The sequence below is a fragment of the Homo sapiens genome, chromosome 6 (assembly GCF_000001405.40).
Source record: "Homo sapiens chromosome 6, GRCh38.p14 Primary Assembly".
Lineage (NCBI taxonomy): Eukaryota > Metazoa > Chordata > Mammalia > Primates > Hominidae > Homo > Homo sapiens.
The window spans coordinates 34465276-34483326 of NC_000006.12; the positions used below are offsets into that span (position 1 = coordinate 34465276).

An 18051-nucleotide genomic window follows, 5' to 3' on the forward strand; every position below is an offset into this window, starting at 1 on the left:
AGAGTTTTGGTCTGTTCTGTCCTCTGCTGCAGCCCAGCCCCTCATCAGTGCCTGATACAGAACAGGCCTTCAATAGGTATGTGCCCCGCTCCTCCCTGCAGCGTCCAGGCTCCAGGCAGCATTCAGGGCTCAAGTTCGGAAGAGTGAAGGCCGTTGAGGGTCCCCTATTAGGCCCCAAGCCCCCTAGAGAGCTCCAACGACATGGCCTGGAGTTTGCTTTGGCGACAGCCGGTCCTGCTGGAACTAGGACATGAGGGTTAGCGATCCCGCCCCATGGGGTCACAGGGCAGAAGCTGCGGGCAGGGGTGGGCATCAGTGGGGCGGTGGTGCAGGGGGTGTCGCTCCCAAGTCAGCTCACACGCACGTCTTCAACACACCCACCACACAGGCACCCGCACGCACCAAGGGACGCCGAGGCTCGGGAGAGGAGGAAAGGCCAAGGCGATGGGGAGATGGGGAGAGAGGCAGGGAGCAACATCCCGGGCTCCGAGCGCGCCAGCTGGGAGGGCTGGGGAGGAGGGCGCACCGGAGGGCTCCCGGCACGCGCGGGGCCGCGGGCAGCCCCCAGAAGAGGGAGCCAGGCAAGACTGCTGGGGCAGGGGTCGGCTGAAGCAGCGGGGAGCCGGACCCCACCCGCCACCCGCCACCCGCCACCCCCGGCGCCTGCCAAACTGGTTGCTGCCTCCCCGGCAGCCGCGGCGCGTCCACCTGCGCAGCCACCGCGCCGCCCTGCCCGCGCTACCATTGGCTCGCTAAAAATGCCTCTCTAATCTGCTCTGCTCGGTGCACGCCTCCTCCTCATCCTTCCCCCCTCTCCGCCTCAGCTCTGACCTTCCTCCTTCCCGCAGCCCCGGCGAGATCCCAGAGCGACGCGGTGGCGGCGGCAGCGCCAGCCCCCTCCTCCCCCGGGAAGTCGGCCGGGCTTGAGGCCGGGCCCCAGACGTCCCGCTTCGCCCCGAGTCGCCGCCGATGGTCCCCGGAGCTCCTGCCCCCAGGTAGGAGGTCTGGCCCTTGAATAGAGGGCGGGGGGGTTGTGTGTGCGGGTGTCCAGTTAGGGAGTGCGTGTTGGAAGTGGGCGCCGGGACTGACATCTCCCTGGGCCAGAGCCCGGGCAGGGTTGGGCAGTTGCCTGGAGAGAAGCGGGTGCGCGTTCGGGGATGCCTTCAGGGGACGGAGTTCGCGGGCATCACCCAGGCAGTGCCAGGATGCCACTGCGCTGGGTCCCTTGGGGGAGCGAGCTGGCATCGGAGGCCCTTACCCCAGGAAAAGCGCCGGAAATAGGTTCCTTGGGAAGCTGGGGCCTGGGCCCGGGCGGTCCGGGTCTCTGGACTGCTACCAGAAGGGGTGGGTGGGCTGGTGCCAGCTTGGTGCATAGGCTATTTATGGATCAGAGTGGGCTGGGGAGAAACACAGCAGCTGATGCCTGTCTGGCTTATGGTTAAAGGTATTTCCTTCTGTCCCCTACCCCTTCCCCCACAGCTGGGATGGGAGCGGGGAGGGGGGAGGAGGCAAGAAGGAGGCGATAATGCTAAAAGGCCCCGCAGATACAGAAGCCATGGGCTGCTGGGCACTGCCCTCCCCTGCAAGCCCCAGGCCACTTGCTGCCTGTTGGAGCTGCCTCTGCCCCTTATTTTCACCTTACAAGAGGCTATGAAAAGGTTAAAGGGTCATCAGGGTGTAGGAGACATGGTGGCAAACCCGGGAGCTTGGCCAGACCCAGCTTCAAGCCCCAGCTGCCCCTACCCACAACAGCCCAGGTCTGCACCACATAGGCAGTGACACATATGGCCGCTTATTTCTAGGCACAACCATAAATAACCCACATTGCCCCAGCCCCTGGCACAGCTGGGGTGCAAACAGGACTGTCTGTCAGTGATTTTGCTTCCATCCTCCATCCTGGCCTTTCTATCACAAGTCCAAATCATCACCCTCCAGCAGCTTCCCTGATACCCCAGGTGAGATCCTTGCCCCCTGCCCTATGTTCTTGGACTGCCTTGTGGCTGGGTTATTTGTCTTGTTCATCTCCTTCTAGACCAGAAGTACCTTCAGGCTGGGAATCTGATTCATCTCTGTCATTGCCCCTGCACCAAAGCAGGGTTTGGCACCAAGAAAATATCTTGTGGAATGCATGACTTATTGAATGAGTGAATGTAAACTCTGGGAAATAGCTGGCAACCTGAGGGAGGGGGTCGAGCCCCTTCTTGGGCTTTCTCTCTATTCCCCAGGACCAAAGAGCCACTCCACTCAAACCAGGTGGTTCTCTTTAGTAGGCCCTTCCTTTTTTTTTTTTTTTTTTTTTTGAGAGAGAGTTTCGCTCTTGTTGCCCAGGCTGGAGTGCAATGGCACGATCTCAGCTCACCGCAACCTCTGCCTCCCGGGTTCAAGCGATTCTCCTGCCTCAGCCTCCTGAGTAGCTGGAATTACAGGCATGCACCACCACACCCGGCTAATTTTATATTTTTAGTAGAGACGGGGTTTCTCCATGTTGGTCAGGCTGGTCTCGAACTCCTGACCTCAGGTGATCTGCCCACCTTGGCCTCTCAAAGTGCTAGGATTACAGGCCTGAGCCATCATGCCCGGCTAGGCCCTTCCTAAGCCTGGAGTTGATGGGCAGCTATGCCTTTTGGAGATAGTGTTGCAACCTGCTGGCTCCAGAGGGTCTTATGGGCCCCTGGTTTGAGTGTCCAGGCCTGGTCCTGGCTTGAGGGAAGGCCTGATGTGAAGGTCTGGCTCTCCTCAGGCCGCTGGGTTGGCACTTTCTTCCCGGGGTGCCAACTTTAGACCAGAGTCTCTGCCTCTGTCCCAGCCCTTGGGAAAATCCAGGTCAACATCAGGGAAGCTGGGAAGGCCCAAGCCAGGCCTTCCTCAGCCTCTAAGGTCTTCATAGCAAGCTCTCAGGGGTCTCATGACCCTAGTGTGTGGAGGAGCAAACCCACTTCAGAGGAAGAGGCTGCCAACAAGGGTTCTGGCTTAGCCACAGGCCTGTGTCTATGAAGGACATCAAGATTTCCAGGCTTAGGAGGGGCCTAAAGAGAACTGTCTGGTTTGGGTGGCTCTTTGGTCCTGGGGAATAGAGGGAAAGCCCAAGAAGGGACTCAACCCCCTCCCTCAGGTTGCCAGCTATTTTCCAGAGTTGACATTCAGTCATTCAATCATTCATTCATTCCACAATGGCTCGCATTGCTATTTGACAGCCATGCAGTCTCCCTAACGTGGCTCTGCCACCATTCCCACACCCAGGCTGACTCTCCCTTCTTGCCCTCCCTCTGCCCCCTGGCTGCCCTGAGCTACTTTCAGTTCCTCAAGCAAGTGGGGCTTCTGTCACCTGCAGGCCTTTGCACAGGCTGTTCCTGTCTCCTCCTCTCCCTCTTCCTTCCCACCCAAATCTCTCACCCTCGGGAGTCCACTGAGACTCCTTTTTCCTCCAGAAGCTTCCCCAGCTTGGGCTGGGAACCCCACCCATGATCCCCTCCCCACAGCCTGGCTGCCTCCCCTGGGAACCCTCCCATCATGCAGTGTCCTCTCCCTGCTGGGCTGTGGGGTCTGTGGGGGCAGAGTCTGTGTGCTGTTTCCGGTGGCCCCATGGCCTGGCACAGAGTAGACCCAGCTCTGGCTTGTGGAGTGAGTGACTGTTGGTCCCATCATCTACTTTCTCTCCTCACCAATATCAGGACATATTTTGCATTCGTCTCCCATTAGGAGATGAGGGACCCATTCAGAAGTTTGCACGTATCCCCACAGCAAGAATGAGTTGGTGGTAGAAAGCCTTCCCTGGAGAAGTGAAACTGGCTACAGGTCTGGAAGGACAGAAGGGACAGGAGAGGACATGAGGGGTGGGGGCATTCACTGATTTGGGGGGCCCTCCCTGGGGAACCAGGTGGAGGGGTTGGGGGACGAGTGGGTATACCAGATAAGAAGGATGCTGCTTGGTTTGGTTTTACATTTTTCTTAAAGAAAAATAGCTTTTATTATTTTTTCTTATTACCAAAGTAATATAGGTTTGCTGTGGGCAATTTAGAATGTACTAGAAAGCCGAATGAAGGAAGCCCATTAGCCACATCAGACCCACCCACCATGGGCACTTCGTAACTGATTTCCAGCCAGGGGCAGGATGGACCGGAGGGGAGGTCTGGGCTGGGGACTTGGCGGGCAGGTCAGGGTCCCAGGAAGTAGCCGTGAGGATTGGCAGGCAGGTAGAGGAGGGGTCCCGGAGCTTCACTGTGGAAAGCAGGGAAGGAAGTGGGATTGGATGAAGGGGAAGTGGACTCTGATGCAGCCCAACAGGCAACAGGGTGCCCTGGGGCTAGAGTGGCCTTTCAGGTCATGTCCATTTGCCTGTGAGAGTCAGGCCCTAGACCCCAGCATCCTGCGCCCATCAGGCACAGGGTTTGGGTGTGCCTTCCTGCAGGTGGCTCTGTGGTAGCAGCAGTCCCTGAAGCATCTGCCCACTGAGGTCGCCTGCTGACAGCACCCACCCCCTGGGGCAACAGGTAGTGTTCACCACCAGGAAAGATGGGTTGGGAGGAACCCAGAGGTGGGCTGAAGGGACAAGATCAACCGGAGCCTGGCCTCAGCTGGCTCTGGGGAGACAGGACCTCTAATGCCAGGGAAGTTGCTGGTGCCGTTTCCAGAAAAGGAGCGTGTCTGTGGGGAGCAATTTAGAATGTACTGGAAAGCCAAATGAAGAAAACCTATTAGCCACTTCAGACCCACCTGCTGGGGACACTTTGTGGCTGGTTTCCAGCCAGGGGCAGGGTGGCCTGGAGGGGAGGGCTGGGCTGGAGACTGGGGTCGGGGGCTCCCCTCCACCCTCCCCTGGGTGCTGTCTCTGAAGACCTCAACCTTGGGTGTGAGGGGCTGCAGGATACCTGAAAACTGGGAGGGCAGGGGAGGCCTTGGCTATTATTATTATTATTATTATTTTTGAGACGGAGTCTCACTCTGTTACCCAGGCTGGAGTGCAGTGGCGCGATCTTGGCTCATTGCAACCTCCACCTCCGGGTTCAAGCAATTCTCTGCCTCAGCCTCCTGAGTAGCTGGGATTACAGGCGCCCACCACCACGCCCGGCTAATTTTTGTATTTTTAGTAAAGACAGGGTTTCACTATCTTGGCCAGGCTGGTCTTGAACTCCTGACCTCGTGATCCACCCGCCTCGGCCTCCCAAAGTGCTGGGATTACAGGTGTGAGCCACCGCACCTGGCCTACCTTGGCTATTATTTTAAAATCACTCGATATTGTTATAATTATTTTCTTTTTAGAGGCAGGGTCTTGCTCTGTCACCCAGGCTGGAGTGAGTGACACCATCATAGCTCACTGCAGCCTCGACCTCCCGGGCCCAAGGGATCCTCCCATTCAGCCTCCTGAGTAGCTGAGTGCTACCATGCCTGGCTAATTTTTCAATTTTATTGTAGAGATGGGGTCTTACTGTGTTGCCCAGGCTAAAAATAACTTGATATTAAAATGCTGGGTAGGGGCTAGGGTAGTCTTTCTATATAAAATGCAGCATACTCAGGTAATTTTAAATTTCAGAAAAACAACAAATGTGTTTTTGTTGTTTTTTAGTCTAAGTATGTCCCAAACATTGCATAGGACATATTTTTAATAAAAAACTGTATTTGTCATTTATCTGAAATTCAGATTTAACTAGGTGTCCTGAATTTTTATTTTATTTTATTTATTTATTTTTGAGATGGAGTTTTGCTCTTGTCGCCCAGGCTTGAGTGCAAGGCTGCGATCTAGGCTCACTGCAACCTCCGCCTCCCAGGTTCAAGTGATTCTCCTGCCTCAGCCTCCTGAGTAGCTGAGATTACAGGTGCCGGCCACCACACCCAGCTAATTTTTCTGTATTTTTAGTAGAGATGGGGTTTCGCCATGTTGGCCAGGCTGGTCTCAAACTCCTGACCTCAAGTGATCTGCCCGCCTCAGCCTCCCAAAGTGCTGGGATTACAGGCATGAGCCACCGCGCCTGGCCCTGAATTTTTATTGACTAAATGTGGCCACTGTAGGCTGGGGTAGGGAGGAGTGGAGAGAGAGGGTGAGAATTTTCTGTTCTTGAGTGTGGGGGAAGAATCAATAGATACTTGTTTGAAGTTGACAGTTTTAAAACATTAACACATCCATTTTTAGAAACAGGTGAGATGTTCCAAATTTCCCATCTGTTAACTTTCTATACTGGCTAGAGAGTAGTCCCTTATTTGTGGATTTTGGCTCCTTAGTGCTGCTGAGAAATAATAAAACAATAGTTTTCTCATTTATGCAGGTGGGACAAAGGGAGATGTGGTGATCAAGGGTGGAATCACTAAATAGGGGTAATCCATTTGAGAAATAAAAGTCCTCCTAAGAAAGCTCTCATTTGGCGGAGGGCGTGGGAAACTAGAACTCTCACGTCAGTCGGGGAGCATACGTTAGCACTGTGTTTTTGGCAACAGTGGTCACAGTTTTGACTTGGCAATTCCACTTTTTGGGACTTATTCCACAGGTACACTCTGAGCAGGGTGCAAAGATTAGCTGGGCAGAGACAGTCAGTGTAGCAAAGCTAGATGTCTGTCAGGAGGACCAGTGACAAAGTCAAGACCTCTTTGTACGCTGTGATTTCGGGCAGTTGTTCGTTCTGGGATTTAATCAATGGATCTCTGAATGTCGCTGCCTGCCAGGCACCACTTTAGGTGCTTGGGGACACTGAGACAAGATGGGGCGGAGCTTATTACCAGTGTGGAAAGATGGTCATCACGTACTGATAAGTTAAAGCAAGTGGCTTTGTAGAACAATGTGTGTAGTCAAGGTCAGGAGTTCGAGACCAACCTGGCCAATATGGTGAAACCCCTGTCTCTACTAAAAATACAAAAATTACCTGGGTGTGGTGAAGGACGCCTGTAGTCCCAGCTACTCAGGAGGCTGAGGCAGGAGAATCGCTTGAGCCCAGGAGGCGGAGGTTGAAGTGAGCCGAGATCGGGCCACTGCACTCCAGCCTGGGAGACAGAGCCAGACTCTGTCTCAAAAAAAAAAAAAAAAAAAAAAAGAACAATGTGTGTAGTATGATACAATTTTTAAAGTACATGTACATATGTTCTTCTCTGTTCATATTTACATAACAATGTGTAGAAGGCTGCATACCTGATTGTGATTAGAGCTTGCCTCTGGGCTGAGGCCTATCGCAGGGATCTGGAGGGAGAATGCGTCCTCTTTATTTCAGCCATTCTGTGCTGTTTGCATTTTATAAACAAATATCATTACTCATGAAGAAAACAATTAAAACTGCACTTGATGATACTGGGAATTTTTTTCTTAGAAACCTAAAAAAATGAGCACGTAAACTCCATTCCCCTTAATCTGATGGCATGTGAGTCACATGCTGCCACGTGTGTTTGGAGAGTTTTTATCTGTGGTTGGTTCCTAACTGGTCCCCTCATGGGCTTATATTCCCTCTCCCTCCTCCCAGGCCTGTGGTGCCTGAAACCTGGCGGGATGGGAAAGGGGGTAAGGTAAGGTAACATCTGGGTATCAGGAGGGCTGTAGAAGGAGTATGGCAGAAGTGGGGTATCTGGCAAAGTGGTGGTTGTGTAGCACTGGGGAGTCTTGTAGGGGCACAAAGGAGGGGCCGGGGATCCCTGACATGTGCCAGGCGCTCTTTTGTTTATCCATATTTATAACTCATTTAGTCCTCTTAGTAAGCTCATGGGGTTATCCCCATTTTACAGATGGGGCAACTGAAGTTAAGTGACTTGCCTGAGGTCACACAGTAAGTGGCTGAGCCAGATTCACAGCCATGCAGTCTGGCTCCAGAAGCTGTGCTTGTGAGCCTCTCTGCCTCAGCACCTGTCGTCGAGGAATGGGGATAATCTCTTGTCTCAGAGACTGGAGGCAGGTGTGTTCTGGAAGACTGAAGGAGGGTTGTCTTCTGCAGAAGGCAGACCTGGAAGGAAAGGCTGGTCAGATCCAGAGACGGGGCGGGGGGCGGGGGGGTACATTCCAGGCAGAGTGACAGCAGGGACAAAGATGCAAAGGCTGGAATGTGAGTGGTGGTCTCAGGGGCTGGGGAGGAAATCAGCATAGGAACACGAGAGAGGACATGGGTCGTGAGGCTGGTGGGGCAGCCAGCTTGGATTGCTGCTGCAGGGCACTTTAAATGATCAGCCTCATTGGACCTTGTGGGACAGGTGGCCCAGGGCTGCTTCTCCTTGCAGGGCCTGGCAAAGACCCTGCATCCCTTAGCCCCACTCTGCCTAATCTGGGCCTTCCCTGAGGTCACACATTTCATCACTGGGTTCCCGGGGTCTAGCCTTGACCAGCCACTGAGGACAAGAGGGGCAGCCGAGGCAGGGCTGGAGGGCTGGGGGTTGGGGGTCCAGGCTGAGGTCCTGGCCCTGACACTGACTCACTGAGGGGCCTAGGGCCACTCAACCCCCTCCCTTGGATTCTGTTTCCTCTTCTGTCTTTTATTTGCAAACTTTTTATTGTGAAATATTATAAGCATTTACAGAAGTAGAGAAAATGTTATATAACAGTCATATACTCATGGCTTAGCATCAACAGATACCAACACATGTCCAATCTCATCTCAATCAAGATATTTCTCTAAAAGATAAGGACTTTTTCTAACACAATCACAATACCATTATTATACCTAAGAAGTATTAATTCCTTTATATAGTCAAATATTCACTTAGTATTCACATTCCCTGTTGTCTCAGACATGTCTTTTTGTTTTTTAAATTGTTTAAATCAAGTTCCAGGTAAAGTTCACACGTTATGATTGGTTGATATGTCTTAGTCTCTTTCAATCCACAGTTCTCCTCTCCATCTTTTCTTATTCTTTTGCAGTTTATCTATGGGAGGAAGCAGGTGGTTTGTCCTGCTGTGTTTCCTGCAGACTGGATTTTGTTGATTGCATCCCTGTGGTGTTATTTAGTATGTTCTTCTGTCCTCTCTGTAAATTGGGAGTTGCATTTGTCTGTCCCTGACACCTCATTTAGTCATCAACAAGTCCTTCAATTCTACATTCAAAACACCCAGAATCCACCCACTTCTTGTCACCTCCATTGCTGCCTTCCCTTCTGAGCCTCCACTATCCTCTCCTAGATCTTTGCAGCAGCCTCTACCTGGTCTTCCTGCCCCGTCCTTGCCTCACCAGCCAAAGGTCCTTTAAAACTTAAATCAGATCACATCCTTCCTCTGCTAAAGCTCTTCAATGACTCCCCTCCCATTCAGAATAAAGCCCAGAATCCTATAACAGGCTAGATGCAGTGGCTCACACCTGTAATCCCAGCACTTTGGGAGGCCGAGGCAGGTGGATCACCTGAGGTCAGGGGTTTCAGACCAGCCTGGCCAACATGGTGAAACCCCATCTGTACTAAAATTACAAAAATTAGCCAGGTGTGATGGCACACACCTGTAGTCCCAGCTACTCAGGAGCCTGAGGCAGGAGAATCCCTCAAACCTGGGAGGCAGAGGTTGCAGTGAGCTGAGATCATACCACTGCATCCAGCCTGGGTGACAGAGCAAGACTCTGTCTCAGAAAAAAAAAAAAAAAAAAAAAGCCCTATAATTGCCTGCAAGACCCCATGTGATCCGGCTGCCCAATACCTCAGACCTTCTCTCATACATCCTAGCCTCACTGATCCCCAGGTCATTTCTTGGACCCATCAAACACCCTGCCCCAGGGCCTTTGCACTCCTATTCCCTATGCCTGGAATTCTCTTCCCCAAAGGCCTACATGGCTCATGATGTTCACATCTCCACCCACATCACCCCCTCAGAGAGGCCTCCCAGACCACCTTATCAAAAACAGCCCTCGTTGTCCCCCATCTCCTGATTCTACTTTATCATCTTCATAGCACTTATCCCTGACATTATGCTCTTGTTGGTTTCTTGTCTGTCCCCCTTACCTGCCCAAGCATTCCATGAAGGCAGGGTTTGGGTGGGGGCAGAGCAGCATGACTGGGCTTCCCCTACCCCTCACCCCTGCCCACAGAGCTGACCGCCTCCTCCTCTCACATTGCTAGCTCCTCTACTTTCAATGTTTCCTAAAATTAAAAAAAAAATTAAAAAAACACATATTTGTGCCTAGTGTGTCATTGTTTACAAAATACTTCCTGTCTCAAGTCTGGTCTTCTAGAAGCAGAGCTGAGACAAGGATTCCCGGGCAAATGATTTATTGCAGGCATGCTCATATTAGAGCGGGAAAAGATTTGCTTACAGCTAGGATCCCACGGAGAGCTCTAGATTATGAACAGCCAGTCTCCCAGGGTTACCTTCCTCCAGACAAGGGGCCAGGCCTTTGTAGCCCCTTAGCTGGTGGTCATTGTCTGCAAGCTGCTCCCGGGGAAGGGCCTAGCCTCCCCCTGCATCTCCAGATGAGGCAGCTCCTGTAAGCCAAGGGCAGCTCTCAGGGGAAGGGGGCAGCTGTGAGCTGCTAGCAGCCAGCACCCACAGCTGCTGAGAGATGGGTACCCCACCTGATAGAAGGACACTGGCAGTACCCCCTCTACTTCCATATCCATTTCTGCTTTGAGCCTTGCCACAAGCCTGTGGGGATGGTATTTATTAATGATAATTATTCCCATTTCCTAGAGGAGGAAGCTGAGGTTCTTAGGGCTGAAATGACTTGCTTGAGGTTGCACAGCCAGGAAGGGGTTAGATTTAAGCTCAAATTCTTACTCAGGATCCTCTGATTAGCGGACAAATCGTCTTAGTGGCTGCTGGTTTGTAGTTTTACTCTCAAGCATTCATCCTTTTGAATGTTAAATGAATATGTATTGCGTGTGGTGTGCTGTGTGCTGAACTAGGCACCAGGCCATTCAGCAGTGAATGACACACACTTTGTCCTTGTCCCTGGAGTTGCCAGTCAGTGGATCTGCCCAGTATTTAGCCGCCACCACCGTGGTTACCCCTACTGAGCCCTCATGAGTCCCAGCTTCCATAATGACAACACGATGTCTGTTGAGCATGAACTATGTGCTAGCACTGTGCCAGGCTCCCCTTCACCTTCACAGCACCCCATCTTCAGATGGGTAAGCTGAGGCTACAGAGGGACTTGCAGCTCCCAGCCGATGTCTCTCGCCAAGCGTGTGATAGAGCTGGGATTCGAAAGCATGGGGCTGAATTTGGCTCTCCTGCTTCCTGCAGCCCCTTCCCCAGCCCTCCCCACACTCCCTCCCCCCTCCACCAGCAGGATATCTGGTGTCACCTCTATCATCAGCTCCATCGGACACTGGGCTGCCACTGCTGCCTGCTCCCCAGGTGTTGGATGACTGGCCGCCATCTCACCTGCCCCACTTGGCCCTGCCCCAGATGGGGCACCTCTGATAGGAGGCTTCCCCTACACTACAGGGCTCAGGATCCCTGCCTCTGCCGCCTTGCCAGCCCCTTGTCATTGGCCCTGACAGCTGGGTGGGCCTTTCTGCCAGCCCCAGCATGGCCTGGGTGTTGGTGGCCCCTCCCCCTTGCACCAGCTGGCCTGGTAAGCTGCAAAGCTGGCTTGGCTTGGCTTGGGGGCCCCTGGACAGGGCCGGGGGCGGGTGGCAAATCACAGGGGACTTCCTACTTTCCTGCCAAACAGGGCCAAGACAATCCTGACAGGGAGCAACCAAATCACAAAATTGCCACCTGAGGAATGTAAGGGTGGAGAGGGCACCCCCCAGGACTGCCTTGGTAATGGGCATCTATGAGGCAGTAGCTCGGGGGTGGGCACTCCAGGCCTGTGTCAGCTCGGGATTTCCCTTCTCTCCCTAGGACCCCCTCGTTCCCTGGCCCTCAGGCCTCTCTGACCATTGCTCATTTGGGCTGTGGCAGAGGAGGCCAGCACTCTGTTCCAAACCTCAGCCCTGAGGGCTTCCTCCAGGGGCTGCACTGAGGGACTGTGCCTCTGTTGGCAGAACTTCAGGAATCTTTGTGTGAATTTTGTTTGCAAAACATATGCAAATAAGCATGTCCAGGCCGGGCATGGTTGCTCATGCCTGTAATCCCAGCACTTTGGGAGGCCAAAGCGGGAGGATTGCTTGAGTCCAGGAGTTCAAGACCAACCTGGGCAACATAGGGAGATGCTGTCTCTATTTAAAAAAAAAAGAAAAAAGAAAAAGAAGAAAGAAAGAAAGAGAAAGAGAGAAAGAAAGAAATCAAGAAAAAAAGAAGAAAGAAAGAAAGAAAATCATGTCCATCTCACTGTGGGTGTGGCCTGTTGAGGTGCTGTGGTCTGCAGGGAACAGGCATTCCCTGCAACAGCTGGGGGACCAGGGGCACAGAAAGATGAGGGCCCCTGAGGGCTCTGGCCATCTCATCTTTACTGCAAGCTCAAGTCCAATTTCCATCATATTTTCTCTTCTCCAGATGGTTATTTCTTTTTCTAATTTGATCATTTTGTTTGCATTTATGAGCTAGACTTCTACAAAGAACTATTCCTCTTCACCTATTTTGTTATTCTGAAACATGGTGCATACTGGAGGATAAAGGCTCCATTCCTTCACTTTATCCTTTGTTTGTTTGTTTGCTTTTTGAGACAGGGTCTCACTCTGTTGCCCAGGCTGGAGTGCAGTGGCATGATCTTGGCTTACTGCAACCTCAACCTCCTGGGCTTGAGCTATCCTCACAACTCAGCCTCCCCAGTAGCTGGGACTACAGCTGTGTGCCACCAAGCCTGGCCATCTTTTTTTTTTTTTTTTTGTAGAGACAGGGTCTTCCCATGTTGCCCGGGCTGGTCTTCAACTCCTGGGCTCAAGCAATCCTCCCGCCTCAGCCTCCCAAAGTGCTGGGATTACAGGCATGAGCCACCATGCCCAGCCCCTTTATCCTTTTTTTTTTTTTTTTGAGACAAAGTCTCGCTCTGACGCCCAGGCTGGAGCACAGTGGCGCGATCTCGGCTTACTGCAACCTCCGGCTCCCGGGTTCCAGCGATTCTCCTGCCTCAGCCTCCTGAGTAGCTGGGACTACAGGCGCATCCCACAGTGCCCAGCTAATTTTTTGTATTTTTAGTAGAGATGGGGTTTCATTATGTTGGCCAGGGTGGTCTTGAACTCTTGACCTAGTGATCCACCCTCCTCGGCCTCCCAAAGTGCTGGGATTACAGGCATGAGCCACCACGCCGAGCCTATTTATCTTCTTTTTTTTTTTTTTTTTTTTTGAGATGGAGTCTCGCTCTGTCACCCAGGCTGGAGTGCAGTGGCACGATCTCGGCTCACTTCAACCTCCGACTCCTGGGTTCAAGTGATTCTCCTGCCTCAGGCTCCTGAGTAGCTGGGATTGCAGGCATGCGTCACCACACCTGGCTAATTTTTGTATTTTTAGTAAAGATGGGGTTTCACTATGTTGGTCAGGCTGGTCTCGAACTCCTGACCTTGTGATCCTCCTGCCTCGGCCTCCCGAAGTGCTGGGATTACAGGCATGAGCCACCACACTCAGCCTATTTATCCATTTTTAAAGAAATGAGTTGGTGCTGTAGCAACCTCCAATGGTGACCAGTGAATATTTTTTCCTTTTTAAAAATATAAACATATATAAAATAGGTTGTACATTTGTCTTAGTCTTTTTTGTGTTGTATAACAGAATACCTGAGCCCAGGTAAATTAAAAGGACAAGGAGCTTATTTGGCTCACAATTCTGGAGGCTGAGAAGTCCAAGCAGCATGGCGCCGGGTCTGCTTGTCTTCTGGTGAGGACCACCTGGCTGCATTCTAATACGGCAAGAGGAGGTGCCAGAGCAACAAGTGGGCAAGTGCAAAAGAGACAGACGAGAGGCTGGGCTCACTTTATAACAGCCTGCTCTCATGGGAACTAATCCATTCCCACAGCACTCCAGCAAGGTGGCATTAACCTAGTCATGAGGGCAGTGCCCCATAATCCAAACACCTCTCACTAGGCCCTACCTCCCAACACAGCCACATTGGGAATCAGATTTCAACATGTGTTTTGGAGGGGACACACTCAAACCATAGCAACATTTTAACAAATTTAATATAAAGCCAATGTCTCCATCATGTAGGTAAAAAAAAATCAAAACATTGCCACAGCACCAAAGGACCCCCTCAGACCTTTCCCCATCACAAGCCCCTCCCTCCCCCACTGGAACCCACCATTCTAAACAGTTAGGGTTATTCACTGCTTTGTTTTTGGTTTTACCATGTAAATATGCATCCAAAACCAAAGAGTTCTGTTTCTTTTTGAATTTTCTGATTTTTCTTTCTTTCTTTCTTTTTTGAGACAGGGTCTTGCTCAGGCTGGAGTGCAATGGCACGATCTTGGCCCATTTAGGCTCAATCTCCTGGGCTCAAGCAATCCTCCCACCTCAGCCTTCTGAGAAGCTGGGACCACAGGAGTGCACCACCATGCCCAGCTATCTTTTAAATTTATTTTTATTTTATTTTATTTTTTAGAGAGATGGGGATTCCCTCTGTTGCCCGGGCTGGACTTGAACTCCTGGGCTCAAGTGATCCTCCTGCTTCAGCCTTTCAAAGTGCTGGGATTACAGGCAGGAGCCACCACACTTGGTTTTTTTGAATTTTAAGTAATGAATTATGTATTCATTAAAGTCTGTTGTTTTTTATTTTATTTTTAATTTTATTATTATTATTACTTTTTGAGACAGAGTCTTGCTCTGTCACCCAGGCTGGAGTGCAGTGGTGCAATCTCAGCTCACTGCAACCTCCGCCTCCTGGGCTCAAGTGATTTTCCTGCCTCAGCCTCCATAGTAGCTGGGACCACAGGCATATGCCACCACACCCAGCTAATTTTTGTATTTTTAATGGAGACGGGGTTTCACCGTGTTGGCCAGGCTGGTCTCGAACTCCTGACCTCAGGTGATCCACCCACCTCGGCCTCCCAAAGTGCTGGGATTACAGGCATGAGCCACCACTCCTGGCAACTAAAGTTTGTTCTCTTTTTAAATTAACATTTTCTTTTTACCAGGATCCAGGTTGTTATTTGTAGCATCAGTCCTTTCATTTTCTTTTCCTTCTTTCTTTCTTTTTTTTTTTTTTTGAGAAAGGATCTCACTCTGTCACCCAGGCTGGAGTGCAGTAGTACCATCACGGCTCAGTGTAACCTCTGCCTCCCAGGCTCAAATGATCCTCCCACCTCAGCCTCTCGAGTGGCTGGGACCACAGGTGTGCACCACCACACCCAGCTAATTTTTAAATTTTTTGTAGAGATGGGGCGCTCCCTATTTTGCCCAGGCTGGTCTTGAACTCCCGGGCTCAAGCAATCTGCCCACCTCGGCCTCCCAAAGTGCTGGGATTACAGGCATGAGCCACTGTACCTGACTCATTTTTCATCATATATAATAGTTTCTAATATGTAAATAAACCATGATATACTTGTCCAGTCTGTTTACAGACATCAGGGTTTTTTTCTGATTTGTGTCTACTGTGAAAAGTTCTGCTGGCTTCCATGAAGGGATAAGATAAAAAGTACTTTAAAAAAAGTTTCTGCTCTATATATATCCCCAGGTAAACATATGCATGCAGTTCTCCAGGGTTTATGCAAAGGAATGGAATCACTAGGTCATAGGGTATGTGATCTTCAATCTTATAGATAATGTGAAACTGTTCTCCAGAGTGCTTGTACCAAATCATACCTGCACAAAGCAGTGTGTGCAGAATCCCAGTGGTCCACATTCTTGCAGGTATGTGGTTACTAGCAGACTTTTTTTCTTTTTTTTTTTTTAGAATTTAGTTTTCATTATCATTATGGATTTTTATAAATTTGATGTGTTTTAGCACTTGCAGTCATTATTCTCAGTAATGCTCAAATTGTCTCATCTTTGGCCAGTGGGAACTTCTTCAAGTGGACTCTTCTTTTTTTAGACAAGGTCTCACTCTGTTGCCCAGGCTGGAGTGCAGTGGTGTGATCACGGCTCACTGCAACCTCCACCTCCCTGGGTTCAAGTGATTCTTCTGCCTCAGCCCCCCGAGAGCTGGGACTACAGGCATGCATCACCATGCCTGGCTAATTTTTGTTTCTTTAGTATCTTTAGATGGGATTTCACAATGTTGGCCAGGCTGGTCTCAAACTCCTGATCTCAAGTGATCCAGCCTCCTTGGCTTCCCAAAGTGCTGGGATTACATGTGCAAGCCACCGCGCCTGGCTTCTGACATCTTTTTCATACGTTCACACGGGTTTTTGAAAATGCCCTTGCTTGGCCGGGTGCGGTGGCTCACGCCTGTAATCCCAGCACTTAGGGAGGCCGAGGCGGGAGGATCACGAGGTCAGGAGATTGAGACAACAATGAAACCCATCTCTACTAAAAATACAAAAAAATTAGCCAGGCGTGGTGGCGAGCGCCTGTAGTCCCAGCTACCAGGGAGGCTGAGGCAAGAGAATGGTGTGAACCCGGGAGGTGGAGCTTGCAGTGAGCCGAGATCGTGCCACTGCACTCCAGCCTGGGCGACAGAGCAAGACTCCATCTAAAAAAAAAAAAAAGAAAAAAGAAAATACCCTTGCTTTCTGGTGTGAAGATGTTCTACGTTCCTCAGAGCTGGACTCAGCCAGCTCTCCAAGGAGCTGTGGATCTTTTATATAAACACATTTTTTATTGAAATACGATTCATATACCATAATATTTACTCTTTTCAAATGTACATGTCAGTGGCTTTTAGTATATTTACAAAGTTGGGTAACCGCTATCTAATTCCAGAATATTCCATAACTCCAAAAAGAAACTCCATATCCATTAACAGCTACTTCCCAATTCCCCCTCCCTCAGCTCTGGAAATCACCAAACAACCTTCTGTCTCTATAAATTTGCTTATTCTGGAAGATTCATATAAATTGAATCATATAAGCCTTTTGTGACTGGCTTCTTTTTTTGTTTTTTTGTTTTTTGTTTTTTGTTTTTTGTTTTGAGATGGAGTTTCACTCTTGTTGCCCAGGCTGGAGTGCAATGGCGTGACCTCGGCTCACCGCAATCTCTGCCTCTTGGATTCAAGCGATTCTCCTGCCTCAGCCTCCTGAGTAGCTGGGATTATAGGCGCCAGCCACCATGCCCAGCTAATTTTGTGTTTTTAGTAGAGATGGGGTTTCACCATGTTGGGCAGGCTAGTCTTGAACCCCTGACCTCAGCTGATCTGCCTGCCTCGGCCTCCCAAAGTGCTGGGATTACAGGTGTGAGCCACTGCGCCCAGCCTTGGCTTCTTTCACTTAGTATAATGTTTTTAAGGTTCATCCCCCTTTGTAGCAAGTAACTAGTGCATTCCTTTTTATGGCTGAATCATATTCCATTGCATGAATATACTACATTTTGTTTATCCACTCATCCATTGATGGACATTTGAGTTGTTTCCACTTTTTTGGGTTTTTATGAATAATACTTCTAAGAACATTTATATGCATGTTTTTGTGTGAACATATGTTTTCATTTCTCTTGGATATATACCTAGGAGTAGAATTGCTGGGTCATATGGTAACTCTATGTTTTTGTTTTTGTTTTTTTTTTTTTGAGACAGAGTCTCACTCTGTTGCCCAGGCTGGAAAGCAATGGCATGATATCGGCTCACTGCAACCTTCCCCACCTCCCGGGTTCAATAAATTCTCCCTACCTCAGCCTCCTGAGTAGCTGGGATTACAGGCGCCTGCCGCCACACCCAGCTAATTTTTGTATTTTTTTTAGTAGAGACGGGGTTTCACCATGTTGGCCAGGCTGGTCTTGAACTCCTGACCTCAGGTGGTCTGCCCACTTTGGCTTCCCAAAGTGCTGGGATTACAGATGTTAGCCACTGCGCCCAGCCAACTCCATGTTTAACTTTTTTTTTTTTTTTTTTTTGAAACAAGGTCTCACTCTTGGTGCCCAGGCTGGAGTGCAGTGGCACGATCATGGCTCACTGCAGCCTCGACTTCCTGGGCTCAAGTGATCCTCCCACCTCAGCCTCCCAAGTAGCTGGGACTACAGGCGTGAGCAACCACGCCTGGCTAATGTTTTGTATTTTTAGTAGATACGGAGTTTTGCCATGTTATCTAGGCTGATCTTGAACTCCTGGGCTCAAGTGATCTGCCCACCTTGGTCTCCCAAAGTGCTGGGATTACAGGCGTGAGCCACCACGCCCGGCCCAGACTTTTTGAATTCTAGAA

General features: G+C 50.5%; 1 protein-coding gene across 1 annotated transcript in view, besides 3 other annotated features; it reads left to right on the plus strand.

The window, feature by feature from the left end:
• Positions 666–715: a silencer, noted in NCBI's record as "silent region_17078". NCBI's record gives its function as "represses an Ori minimal core promoter by ATAC-STARR-seq in GM12878 lymphoblastoid cells {active_cell/tissue: GM12878}" and the evidence as "EXISTENCE:reporter gene assay evidence [ECO:0000049][PMID:35858748]".
• Positions 801–18051, plus strand: part of PACSIN1 (protein kinase C and casein kinase substrate in neurons 1) — a 69148-nt gene continuing 51897 nt past the window's right edge. Inside the window, exon 1 of the mRNA NM_020804.5 lies at positions 801–995. The gene's annotated coding sequence lies outside the window, so the exon portion shown is untranslated. The remainder of the gene's footprint in view (positions 996–18051) is intronic.
• Positions 2989–3038: an enhancer, noted in NCBI's record as "active region_24382". NCBI's record gives its function as "activates an Ori minimal core promoter by ATAC-STARR-seq in GM12878 lymphoblastoid cells {active_cell/tissue: GM12878}" and the evidence as "EXISTENCE:reporter gene assay evidence [ECO:0000049][PMID:35858748]".
• Positions 7682–8440: an enhancer, noted in NCBI's record as "H3K4me1 hESC enhancer chr6:34440734-34441492 (GRCh37/hg19 assembly coordinates)". NCBI's record gives its function as "activates a minimal SCP1, AML or CMV promoter by ChIP-STARR-seq in naive H9 embryonic stem cells {active_cell/tissue: H9 hESC(naive)}" and the evidence as "EXISTENCE:reporter gene assay evidence [ECO:0000049][PMID:30033119]".